General features: G+C 40.8%; 1 protein-coding gene and 1 pseudogene across 9 annotated transcripts in view; one reads left to right on the top strand and one right to left on the bottom strand.

Moving 5' to 3' along the window:
• Window positions 1-1007: 1007 nt before the first annotated feature.
• UBXN2A (UBX domain protein 2A) overlaps window positions 1008-13902 on the bottom strand; it is a 77632-nt gene continuing 64737 nt past the window's right edge. For 8 of the 9 annotated variants that reach the window (XM_005264168.6, XM_011532633.4, XM_005264166.6 and 5 more), the window contains one exon: window positions 1008-6245. In XM_005264168.6, the coding sequence (XP_005264225.1) occupies window positions 6050-6245 (196 nt within the window). In that variant the 3' untranslated portion in view covers window positions 1008-6049. Of the gene's footprint in view, window positions 6263-13902 lie in introns of all 9 variants that reach the window. The other variant, XM_017003517.3, reaches the window with a different exon arrangement.
• Window positions 8835-9122, top strand: RN7SL610P (RNA, 7SL, cytoplasmic 610, pseudogene; annotated as a pseudogene).

Genomic DNA, 13902 nt, shown 5'->3' with positions numbered 1-13902 from the left:
CAAGACAGAATCTTGCTCTGTCGCTCAGGCTGGAGTGCAGCCACATGATCTCGGCTCACTGCAACCTCTGCCTCCTGGGTTCAAGCGATTCTCCTGCCTCAGCCTCCCGAGTAGCTGGGATTACAGGCGCGTGCCACCATGCCTGGCTAATTTTTGTATTTTTAATAGAGACGGGGTTTTACCATGTTGGCTAGGCTGGTCTGGAATTCCTGATCTTGTGATCAGCCCACCTCGGCCTCACAAACTGCTGGGATTACAGGCATGAGCCACTGCGCCTGGCTTTTTTTTTTTTCACTTTTTAAACTATTCACAGGTGTACTACCACTACTGATCAGCATTCGTTCTTGCTCCTTTTCCAATGGGCAACCTGGTAGTCCCCCGTTCCAGTGAGATCACCAAATTGATGCCAAACTTAGTGCAGACACCTGACCGACTGGCAGAGCACACTATACCCCAGAACTTCTGGGCTCAAGCGAGCCTCCTGCCTCAGTCTCCTGAATAGCTGGGACAACAGGCATGCACCACTAGGACCAGTAGTGGTTATATGTGAAAGGCAGAATAATAGGTGATTTAAGGATCATTTTAGCATATCTGCATATTATAGTTTTCTATAATGAATATAAATTATCTGTGCAAAAAATACATTAAAACAAATGACAAAGCCAAATACTGGTCTACTGAATAAGCCATTTCCATCTGAAGGTTTAGTGCAATGAGCAATTTTTTCATAAAATGGTTTGTACTTAGGAAAAGAACAAAGGAGTAAACCCTACTAAAGAGTCTTCATGCTAGTTCAGCTGATAACACAAAGAATAAATGAAAAATTAAACATATCATTGAGTTAGTATTCAAAAATAGCACATCTTTACATTTCTGAGTATTAAATGAAAGTAATGTTGGTTAAAGCAAAAGCACCTAATAAATGTTTGTTGATTATCAAACTGAATGACTTTGCCAAATAAAATGACAAGTGTATTTGCATATAACTATTTTATAACAAGGGTAAATGATTTCACAGATCCTTTTAATGAACAGTATTTCATTAACAGTTCTTCAACTGTCAGCAAAAGATTGCTCTCAAAATACTTTAAGGCACTGAAATAGATGCACACATATTATCAACATGCTGAAATGTCATGAAAAATTATACCGAGAGAAGTATATAAAATAAGATTATTTTTTAAACTGAAAAAAATGCATAGTAATTAACCAATAAACCACAATCTGTAACATTAGATATGTATTTCTTTTTTTCTTTTTTTTGAGACGGAGTCTCGCTCTGTTGCCCAGGCTGGAGTGCAGTGGCACGATCTCGGCTCACTGCAACCTCTGCCTCCGGGGCTCAGGTGATTCTCCTGCCTCAGCCTCCTGAGTAGCTGGGACTACAGGCGCACACCACTACACCCAGCTAATTTTTGTATTTTTAGTATAGACGGGGTTTCCCCATGTTGACCAGGATGGTCTCGATCTCTTGACCTCGTGATCCATCCACCTCAGCCTCCCAAAGTGCTGGGATTGCAGGCATGAGTCACCGTGCCTGGCCTAGATATGTATTTCTATATATCAGCCCTAACAATTATTTTCAAGAAACTGAAGACAGTTTTGAAACAATTGCTTAGGTCAAATTGTATGCCCCATCTAAGGTGATTATTTTCAAGTTTTCCTTCCCTTAGCAAATTGTTTGTTTTCCAAAGTCAACCTCTTTTGATAATTATACACATTTAACTAACAATTTTACAACTTTTAAATTCTCAGTTAAAAAGCTTTACTGGATGATTCTCATTGTAGAAAATCTTTGAGGATATTATTCGCATTAATGAACGTTTCACAGTTAGAATAATGAAGGTTATTGATGACAACAGGTCTTTCTCCATAGGACCCTTACTGGGATGTATTCTACAGGTACATACAAAAGAACCTCCCATGTATCTTCTGGTTAAATAATTATAAACCGGAAAATCTACCAAAGAGGCTTTTCTATAGGTACACAGGAAACATTCTCAATGAGAGACCCCTACATGGAGAATCATATGTTGACTATAATTATGCAAATAAAAATGCTACATGATAGGCCTATATGAAACATTTTCTTAGATTCCTGAACATGTATTAACTGTCATCCTGTTATTTTCTATATCAGAAAGATAAGCTCATTGATTTTATCATTGCCTCTTTTTTTTTTTTTTTTTTTTGGTAAGAACATTATTTTTGTTTCACTACAGAGAGGCTCTAACACTGCTGTGTAAACATTACCAACAATAATTATTTATTTTCTATTATGTACCTGTTCATTTCTAAGAGTAATGGACAAAAGAAAAGGCTCTCCTTTGTCCTCCCTCTCTTCCTAATTAAAAGAGCCTTCTGCCCCATGGAAGGCTGGGAGCTAGGAAAAGCAGCATTCTCACAATAGACTGCAATCAGAAGATAGATTTTATGTCAGGTCATCTAGTTACATAGATATTTCCCTGTTGTTATTCCTGAGTCCTTAGTAAAAACCTTAATTAAATGTTCCAGCCTTGTCTCGGCTGTGCTATAGGAGGTAAAGCACAAGTTTATGTCATGATTGGTTCAGTGACAAAAGGGAACAGACTCTTTCCAAGAGCAAACTGGGTGACAAGGATAAACTTAGTGGTCTAGCAGATGTGTTTCAGTGGAGTCTCCCACCGTCCATGGTGAAAGCATGCAGGTTTTATTTTCTCAGGGTAAAAGCTTAGGACAGAATTTCCTGAAGAAAGGTACTTCCACCACATACTTAAGAATCACGTGAGATTAAAAATGCAGAGATCTGAGACCCATCACAGATACAGTGAATCAGAATCTTTGTGGTAGGTGGCAGGAATGGCATTTTTGAAAAGCTGCCCCAAATGATTCTGAAACTAAGGCTTCAGAATCATTGTGAACCATCACTTTATATAGATTGGTTCTCAAAGTGTGCCTGAGGGATCCCTGGAGATTCCCAAGACCCATTCAGGGCACTGTGAAGTCAAAACGTTTTTCATAATCATACTAAGGCATTATTTGCTTCTTTTCATTCTTTCACCAGTATACAGAGGTGTTTTCCAGAGTCTACATGATATGTGACTGCACAACAGACTGAATGTAGAAGACATGAGAACCCATCTATCTTCTTTATGACAGAAAGTAATTCCCCCCAAAAAACCGGCCACTTTTCTCACTAAATCGTTTCATGTTTTATAAGTTATTATTGGCTGGGCACAGTGGCTCACGCCTATAATCCTAGCACTTTGGGAGGCCAAGGCGGGCGGATCACCTGAGGTTACGAGTTAGAGGCCAGCCAGGCCAACATGGCGAAACCCCGTCTCTACTAAAAATACAAAAATTAGCCAGGCGTGGTAGTGGGCGCCTATAATCCCAGCTACTCGGGAGGCTGTGGCAGAAGAATCGCTTGAACCCGGGGGGACAAGTTGCAGTGAGCCAAGATCGCGCCATTGCACTCTAGTCTGGGGGAAAGAGCAAAACTCTATCTCAAAAAAAAAAAAGTTATTATTATTACGGCAGGGTCTTACTCTGTTGCCTAAGCTAGAGTGCAGTGGCGCAATCTCGGCTCACTGCAACCTCTGCCTCCTGAGTTCAAGCAATTCTCCTCCCTCAGCCTCCCTAGTAGCTGAGATTACAGGCATGTGCCACCACACCAGGCTAATTTTTGTATTTTTAGTACAGACATGGTTTCACCACATTGACCAGGCTGGTCTCGAACTCCTGACCTCAGGTGATCTGCCCGCTTTAGTGTCCCAAAGTGCTGGGATTACAGGTGTGAGCTACTGCACTAATTTTTGTAATTTTTATAGATAGAGTTTTGCCTTGTTGCCCAGGCTGGTCTCAAACTCCTGGGCTCAAGTGATCCACCTGTCTTGGCCTCCCAAAGTGCTAGGATTACAGGCGTGAGACACCATGTCCAGCCAGAAGTTATTTTTAAATGAATAATTTTTTTTTTTTGAGAAAGAGTCTCGCTCCGTCACCAGGCTGGAGTGCAGGGGCGCAATCTCGGCTCACTGAAACCTCCACCTCCCGGGTTCAAGCCATTCTCCTCCCTCAGCCTCCCACGTAGCTGGGACTACAGGCGCATGCCACCACACCCAGCTAATTTTTTTTGTATTTTTAGTAGAGACGGGGATTCACCATGTTGGACAGGATGGTCTCAATCACTTGACCTTGTGATCCGCCTGCCTCAGCCTCCCAAAGTGCTGGGATTACAGGCGTAAGCCACCGTGCCTGGCCCATAAATAAATATTTTAAAAATTTAATATTTAATATAATAATATATATAGCTCACATAAACAAATGGTCTTGAGATAAAAATGTTTGAGAGTTGCTGTTTCATAGCAGGCATCTCGCACCCTATGAACATTACTGCTGCTATGGACCACTTAGTTCCTTGGCACACTCAATGCATGCTTCATTTTAAATCTGATTCAATAGATCATTTGCAAAAAAAAATGTTAAACTTATTTTCAGGTATGGGGATTTAATCTGACAGTGAAAAATTGAGGTCTAACTGGATTTAGTTAAAGTCTGAGATATAAAGCCTGTTTTTCTTCGTGATATCAAAATGAAATAATCTTTAAATGTATTCACAAGTTGACTCTGATGTATGAAACAGAAAACCAGCTGGGCACGGTGGTTCACACTTGTAATCCCAGCACTTCAGGAGGCCTAGGCAGGCAGATCCCCTGAGGTCGGGAGTTCGAGACCAGCCTGACCAACATGGTGAAATCCCGTGTCTACTAAAAATGCAAAATTAGCCAAGCATGGTGGCGCATGCCTGTAATCCCAGCTACTTGGGAGGCTGAGCAGGAGAATCTCTTGAACCCGGGAGGTGGAGGTTGTGGTGAGCTGAGATTGCGCCACTGCACTCCAGCCTGGGCAACAAGAGCGAAACTCCATCTCAAACAAACGAAAAAGAAACAGAAAACCATACTTTATATGATGCATTTAAAAAATACTAGTAATGTGACACACACCGGCATTATATTCTAAGTGAGTGGTGGCAAATGAATGGCTAATCCCAAATGTTAGCCAAAAACAAATCCATAATTTTTGAAAGAAAATAAAATGGAAAGGGAATAGGCTTTTTAGAAAGATAATTTTCTTTTATTACATTTTTATAAAGTGTAGAAATGTGAGTAGGCAGATTAATCTTGATACTATACTGAGCTACACAATTTTATTCTTTTATTTTTTAAATTAAAAAAATATATAGACAGGGGTCTCACTCTGTTGATCATTCTGGTTTTAAACTCCTGGCTTCAAGTGATCCTCCCATCTCAGCCTCCCAAAGTGCTGGGATTACAGGCATGAGCCATTGCACCCGGCCACAATTATTTATATTTATTTTACTTTATTTTATTTATTTTTGAGAGGGGGTCTTGCTCTGTCGCCAAGCTGGAGTACAGTTGCTCAATCTCAGCTCACTGCAACCTACACTTGCCAGGTTCAAGAGATTCTCCTGCCTCAGCCTCCCGAGTAGCTGGGACTACAGTTGCGCACCGCCACGCCCAGCTAATTTTTGTATTTTTACTAGAGATGGGGTTTCACCATGTTTGCCAGGATGGTCTCAATCTGTTGACCTCGTGATCTGCCTGTCTCGGCCTCCCGAAGTTCTGGGATTACAGGCATGAACCACTGTACCCGGTCGTATTAGCTATTTAAAAACTCAGACAGCTAACATTTAAATAAATCCCTGCTGTCTGGGAATGATGTCTGAATGAATATTGTGAATACATATGCTAATTTATACCATATTAAGATTCTAAACAATACAGCTATTTAATATATCTTGATAACTGGTATTTGAAAATAAGTCTATTTTTCTGGGTAGTCTTTTGGAGAAAGTGCACTGAATATAGTTTCCAGTCATATGCTACTTTCTTAACTTGTACTTATCTAAACATCTTCTCATCAGGAGAGAGTTCAATAGTACTCGAACCAAAAGTCTAGTGAGTCTGACTTCTCCAATCCCCAATTTTGGTTTGCATGTCCACTTACAACCATCATTTCTCTGCAAATTTTCCACTTAGTCTATCAAAAATCAGTGCTCTGAAAGTTCTCTAAAAGATGCAGTTTTTTGGAGTCTCTGAATGATGACAGCATTCTGTAAATCTGCTTCTTCCAGTGTGAGTGTCTCATCTAGCAACCTGAGGACAGGAAGAGCTGTTGCCAGGGAAAACGGAGGACTTCTTTGAGATCCTTGGTATTTTTCAATGAAGTCTTTGATATGGCTTACTCTGTAAAACAGCAAAAACTATTAATATAATTTTAGGAAAATTTGAATTACCTAATTTATAGTAACAACAACTGGTAAAAGTATCTGGATATGTTATTATTAGAGATAGCGTCTTGCTTTGTCACCCAGGATGCAGTGCAGTGGTGCCATCATAATAACTCCTGGGCTCAACTGATCCTCCTGCCTCAGCCTCCCAAAGTGCTGAGATCACAGGCATGAGCCACAACACCCAGACTCTGGATATGTTAATATATAGAATAACTGAATTTATGATATAACTGATTATTTGGGCTATCTTTTAAAGTTTGACTCCCAGAAATTTGATGACAATACTACTACTACTGTTAATTATCTTAGGTAAGATAATTAGTACTATGAATTACTACTGTTAATTATCTTAGGTAAGACAAAGGAATTATGGCTATGTTTTACAGAGGCTGTCACAATTGTATCATGATCGTCATGTAGCCATGGATTATAGAATGCATCCTCATTTCACAGATGCTAAAATGTGAAAAAATGTGCAACTCAGAATTAATGAAATATGCCTATCACTAAAGAAAGAATTCTCTCATTCAATCAATTCACTAAAATTCACTACGTGCCACTTTATTAAACCTGTAAGGGCTACCAAAAAAGTCTAAGACCCAGTCCTGTGTATTCATTTGGGTACCAAAAATTGGATAACTAAAGGTTAAAGCTTATGTCAAAGAACATAAATATAAAAAGCAAGAAAACAAAGGTTAAAAGAACTGGGGAAAGATTGCTGGAGGTGGAAGGATTGGAGTGTGGACTTAAAAGACAGGTCCAGCTGCTCGGGAGGCTGAGGAGGGAGACGAAGGTTGATCGCGGGAGACGAAGGTTGCAGTGAGCTGAGATCATGTCACCGTACCCTAACCTGGATGAAAGGGTGAGACCCTGTCTCAAAAAAAAAGATTCTTTTCTTTTTTTTGAGATGGAGTCTAGCTCTGTTGCCTGGGCTGGAATGCAGCGGCGTGATCTTGGCTCACTGCAACCTCCACCTCCCGGGTTCAAGCAATTCTCCCTGCCTCAGCCTCCCTAGTAGCTGGGATTATAGGCGCCTGCCACCACATCCGGCTAGTTTTTGTATTTCTTAGTAGAGATGGGGTTTTGCCATGTTGGCCAAGCTTGTTTGAACTCCTGACCTCAGGTGATCCACCCGCTTAAGCCTCTCAAAGTGCTGGGATTACAGGTGTGAGCCACCGTGCCCAGCCAAGATTCTTACCCATTATTCTTCTCTGCTTTTATATTTTTCAAATGTGTCTTCTCAAATATTATATGACTTATTTATTTTCTGTCTCTCCTGACTAGAAATTACACAAAACAAGTATTTTCTGTTTCTGTTCATAGATACATCCTTGGTGCCTAGAAAAGTACCTATCAGAGATACAATAAATATTGGATGAGTGAAAAATAAATTAAAAAGCTCATGTATCAATGATGATGACAACCAAAAACTAGAAAGTGGAAATGACAGAAACAAAAAACAATGTTGAGAGATATTCTATATTTATGTATTAAGTTAGAAAATATTAAAATAGGCCAGGTGTGGTGGCTCACGCCTGTAATCCCAGCACTTTGGGAGGCTGAGGTGGGTGGATCACCTGAGGTCAGGAGTTCAAGACTAGTCTGGCCAACATAGTGAAACTCTGTCTTTACTAAAAATACAAAAATTATCTGGGTGTGGTGGTGGTCACCTGTAATCCCAGCTACTCAGGAGGCTGAGGCAGGAGAATCACTTGAACCCAGGAGGCGAGGTTGCAGTGAGCCAAAATGACGCCACTGCACTCCAGCCTGGGTGACAAGAGCAAGACTCCATCTTAAAAAAAAAAAAAAGAAAATATTAAAATAAAGTTCTGGCAAAACTAATAAAATCAAAACAAATGCAATATATAAAGGCTTTAGAGGCCGGGTACGGTGGCTCACACCTGTAATCCCAGCACTTTGGGAGGCCGAGGCAGGCAGATCACGAGATCAAGAGACTGAGACCATCCTGGCCAACATGGTGAAATTCCGTCTCTACTAAAAATACAAAAACTAGCTGGGTGTGGTGGTGCCTGTAGTCCCAGGTACTTAGGAGGCTGAGGCAGGAGAATCGCTTGAACCTGGGAGGCAGAGGTTGCAGTGAGCCGAGATTGCGCCACTGCACTCCAGCCTGGGCGACAGAGCAGGACTCCGTCTCAAAAATAAATAAATAAAAATAAATAAATAAAGGCTTTAGACTGTTGACATTCTTAAATCCAGAGATATAAGAAATCAGATGTGCTTATGTAAATTGCTATTTTATCACAGCCTTAACATCTAATTTACCAAAAGAAGAAAATAAATCCAATGAAAGTATAAAGGTATTTTCAGAAATAGAATTGACTAAGCAGAAAGTTAGTATTTAAAGAGACTAATAAAAATGAACAAATCTGACAAGATTTATCAAGAAAAATAGGCTGGCTCACACTTGTAATCCCAGGACTTTGGGAGGCCAAAGCAGGAGGATCACTTGAGCCCAGGAATTCCAGATCAATCTAGGCAATATAGCAAGACCCTATCTCTAAATAAAAAAGAAAACAGCACTGGGCGCAGTGGCACATGCGTATAGTCCCAGCTACTTGGGAAGCTGAGGTGGGAGGATTCCCTGAGCCCAGGATTTCCGGGGCTGTAGTGTGCTATGGCAATCAGGTGCTCGCAGTAACTTTGGAATCAATATGGTGAACTCCAGGTGAAAGAGGTTCCCTAAGGTGGGGGGAACCAGCCCAGGTCAGAAATTGAGCAAGTAAAAACTCCTGTGCTGATCAGTAGTGGGATCGCACCTGTGAATAGCCCTGCCAATCCAGCCTGGGCAACATAGCGAGACCCCATCTCTTATTAAAAAAAAAAAAAAAAGTCTGGGCATGGTGGCTCATGCCTGTGATCCCAGCACTTTGGGAGGCTGAGGCGGGTAGATCATGAGGTCAGGAGTTCGAGACCAGCCTGACCAACATGGTGAAACCCCATCTCTACTAAAAATACAAAAATTAGCTGGGCATGGTGGCAGGCGCCTGTAGTTCCAGCTACTTGGGAGGCTGAGGCAGGAGAATCTCTTGAAACCGTAAGGTGGAGGTTGCAGTGAGCCGAGATCGTGCCACTGCACTCCAGCCTGGGCAACAAGAGCGAAACTCTATCTTAAAAAAAAAAAAAAGAAAAAGAAAAAGAAAAAAGAAAACAGAAAAAGAGAAGGCATAATTGAACAACAATAGGAATGCAAATGCAGCATAACTAAAGATTCAGCAGAGTGTAAAAAGACATTAAGAGGGCTGGGCATGGTGACTCATGCCTGTACTCTCAGCACTTTAGGAGGCTGAGGCAGACAGATCACCTGAGTTCAGGAGTTCAAGACCAGCCTGGCCAATATGGTGAACACTGTTTCTACTAAAAATATAAAAAATTAGCCAAGCATGGTGGCACGCGCCTGTAGTCCCAGCTACTCGGGAGGCTGAGGCAGGAGAATCACTTGAACCCAGGAAACAGAGGTTGCAGTGAGCCGAGATCATGCCACTGCACTCCAGCCTTGGCGACAGAGCAAGACTCTGACTCAAAAAAAAAAAAAAAAAAATTAGCCAGGCGTGGTGACGCACACCTGTAATCCCAGCTACTTGGAAGGCTGAGGCAGGAGAATTGCTCGAACCTGGGAGGTGGTGCAGGTTGCAGTGAGCCGAGATTGAGCCACTGCACTCCAAATTGGGTGACAGAACAAGAATTCATCTCAAAAAAACAAATAAATAAAAAATAAAAAGACAATAAGAGGATTTTGTTTTGATCATTGATGAAATGGCTTTTATTGAAGTAGTGCTCCTAAAAATATTGCTATAAAAGCTGGACAATATACAGACTTAAAATGCTTTGACGTAACTATTTTTCAACTTTACAATGGGTTCATCAGGGTATTAAATGCATTTTCTTTTTTTTTTCTTTTCTTTTTTTTTTTTGAGACAGAGTCTTGCTCTGTCGCCCAGGCTGGAGTGCAGTGGCGTGATCTTGGCTCACTGCAAGCTCCGCCCCCTGGGTTCACACCATTCTCCTGCCTCAGCCTCCCGAGTAGCTGGGACTACAGACGCCCGCTACCACGCCTGGCTAATTTTTTTTGTATTTTTAGTAGATCCGGGGTTTCACCATGTTAGCCAGGATGGTCTCGATCTCCTGACCTCGTGATCCGCCCGCCTCAGCCTCCCAAAGTGCTGGGTAAATGCATTTTCAACGTGGATGGGCTTATTGGGACATTACATCATAAGTCAAGGAGCGTCTAAACATAAAAGCGCTATGTGAAAGCACTGAAGACCAACCAATGTAAATCATCTGAGAGCCCTGTAGGAAGGAAATGCACAAGGTGAGCTCCACATTTACACTGGTTTTTTCACTGAGGGCACTTTCCAATTTGTAGCAGTGAATTAGAGGGAAAAAAAAAAGCCATTTCACTACACCAAGGAGAGACAAGAAGCTGGGATTTATAAGCCAAAATCCTGAAACAGAGGGACCCATAAAGAAACGTGACCAGAAAACCGTAACAAATTCTTAAGTTATTGGCTAACTCCTCAGCTATTAGTAGAATGAGAATTCAAAGAACCCAACAGAAAACAGCGACTGAGGAGAGATTCTAGCAGCTCCAAAATGCTGGGCACACAGACTCTAGAGTTTAAGCTCTGCCAATGTGGAGGAGTCTTGGTAAACACCCAGGTTTTCACCACTTCTAAGGGTCAGACCCTAAGGTTCAAGTCCATGCTCTAAAAGCAAAACAGATAACCAACCAGCCCCAGTAAAGTCTACAGTCAATCCAACTAACTCTTAATAAAATCAACATAATCCATTAGGAATCTGTCTGATAGAAGCATAGGTATCTTTGGAGGAAGATGATGTCATCTGAAACGTCTACAATGTTTCCATAAACAAGGTCTAATGACCAGATGAATTATAAGGTATGCTAAAATCCAGAAGAAGCAACAGATAAAATAAAAAGATGAGGAATTTCACCAGACACCTGAAAAATAACAGACTCAAATGAAAAGTCTACAAGTGACAGTAGAATTGAAAGTAAGAATTCCAACACATGTATTTAACAGACCAGACCAATACAACAGATTACTGAACTCGAAGACAGGTCAAATAGAAAATATGCAGACTGAATCAGAAGGAAAAAGAAGAAAAAAATTAGAAAAGAATATAAGATACACTGAAAACATCTAACATACATGTAAATAAAGCCACAAATGCCAAAGACAAAAGAGAATAAAATACGAGAACATTTCCATCAATACTGGCCAAGAAACTCCCCAAACTGACAAAAAACCTTAACTATGGATCCAAGAAACTCAGCAAATTCTAAGCAATATAATGCAAAGATAACTAACACCTAGGCACATCATATTCAAGCTATTAAAATCTAAGAACAAAGAGAAAAATTTTAAACTGAGAGGAAAAAAGACTTAATATCTTTCAAAAGAGCAAGAAAAAGGCTGACAGCTGATTTTTGAGTAGGAGAGTGGAAGCTGGAAGACAACATATGGGCATTCTTAAGAGCTGATGTGCTAGAAAAACCTGACAGTTCTAGCCTAGTGAAAATGGTCTTTAAAAATGAAGATGTGTTCAAATCAAAGCTAAGAGAATTCATCATTAGTAGATAAGCAATTAAAGAGATACTAAAGGCAGGGCTCGGTGACTCACGCCTGTAATCCCAGCACTTTGGGAAGCCGAGGCGGACCACAAGGTCAGGAGTTGGAGACCAGCCTGGCCAACATGGTGAAACCCTGTCTCTACCAAAAAAATACAAAAATTAGCTGGGTGTGGTAGCGCATGCCTGTAATGCCAGCTACTTGGGAAGCTGAGACAGGAGAATTGCTTGAACCAGGGAGGCAGAGGTCGCAGTGTGCTGAGATCACTCCGCTGCGCTCCAACCAGGTGACAGAGCAAGACTCTGTCTTGAAAAAAAAAAAAAATTAAAAAATTAAAAAAATTTAAGAGATACTAAGCATAATTGTTCAGGCTAAAACATCAAACTGGGTAAAAAACAGAAAAAGTAAAATGATATATAAGTGAATATTGTTTACAAGTAATAGCATTTTGAGGGTTGTTAAAATGTTCGTAGAAGTAACATATTTGTTGACAAAAATAGCAAAAAGGAAGAGAGTAACAGAGTGAAATTGTTGGCCAGGGGCAGTGGCTCAAGCCTATAATCCCAGCAGGTGAGACCCTGTCTCTACCAAAATATATTATATATTTAAAACAGAAAAGAAAAAGCCTGATTAATCATTACTAAATAAATGCTGTTGGCCAAAAATTTTTAAACGCTTCAGTCATTTAGGGGGAAAAAAAGCTACGTGTTTCATTGTTATTCACCTAGATAAACAAGTCAAGATTAAAATTTATTTCCCTGAAGATAAACAAATAAGCTTGGGCCAGAATAACAAATCCCCATTCCCATTTCTACATCTTTAGTTTGCTCTCCTCTTCATTTGGAAGGAATTTAGGTCACAAAAGAACATTCCAGGACACAATTTCAAACTTGTGCTTCTTCTATTATTATGATAATCAGTTGTGTGATTCCAGCTGTCTAGAATGGTTTTGACAGAAATAAAAGTGAAATGCCTTCAAGAGAGCCAAACACATAGAAAGCACCAGGTAGATGGTAGCTAAAGAAATCCACAAAACAGAAACCTCCTTGCAGAGTAAAACAGGAGGAAAAAACCCCACAAAACCAGAAACTAATACTGTTAGCCTAGATTTAAAAACAAAACTCAACTATTTACAAGAGATAGTTTTAAATACACACACAGATAAATATATACAGATACGTTGAAATTAAAAGTAAGTAGAAAAATATACCAGGCAAATACTAATTAGAAGGAAGCTGTTATGACCATATTAATATCAGGCAGAGTAGATTTAACACAAAAAGCATTACCAAGGATTGAGAGAGACATGTGACAGTGCTAAAAAGGTTGACAGGGTTCAAGATATGCTACCCTAAAATATGGCACCTTGGCATTTGAGGAAACAGCAGAAACAGGTAGATCAGTCTCATTCTCCCCTTGCCCTTCTCCCCTCAAAGCAGACCAAAAAAGAAATTATCTGTCCTTCCTCTGAAGTAGGTCATAAAACCTTCCTTTCCGAGGTATTGTTCGTATACCCAGAGGAAAGGAACAACCTTATCCTTGAAGATGCAGAGATGCCACGAAGAATCTGAACGAACAGGCTAAGCTAAGTTCCCCTTAATTTATTACCATTAGATCATACCCCTTTTGCCCTCCAATCATACTTCTCCACAAACTATCCACTTCCTCATCAAACTTAGGCCAGGAGTTCAAGACCAGCCTGGCCAACATGGCGAAACCCTGTCTCTACTAAAAATACCAAAATTAGGCTGGGCGCGGTGGCTCATGCCTGTAATCCCAGCACTTTGGGAGGCCGAGGCAGGAGGATCATGAGGTCAGGAGATCAAGACCAGCCTGGCCAACATGGTGAAACCCCATCTCTACTAAAAATACAAAAATTAGCTGGGCATGGTGGCACACACCTGTAGTCCCAGCTACTCGGGAGGCTGAGGCAGGAGAATCGCATGAACCAGGGAGGCGGAGGTTGCAGTGAGCTGAGATTGCGCCACTGCATTCCAGCCT

The sequence above is a fragment of the Homo sapiens genome, chromosome 2 (assembly GCF_000001405.40).
Source record: "Homo sapiens chromosome 2, GRCh38.p14 Primary Assembly".
Classification (NCBI taxonomy): Eukaryota; Metazoa; Chordata; class Mammalia; order Primates; family Hominidae; genus Homo; species Homo sapiens.
This window is presented reverse-complemented; position numbering and strand designations above follow the sequence as displayed.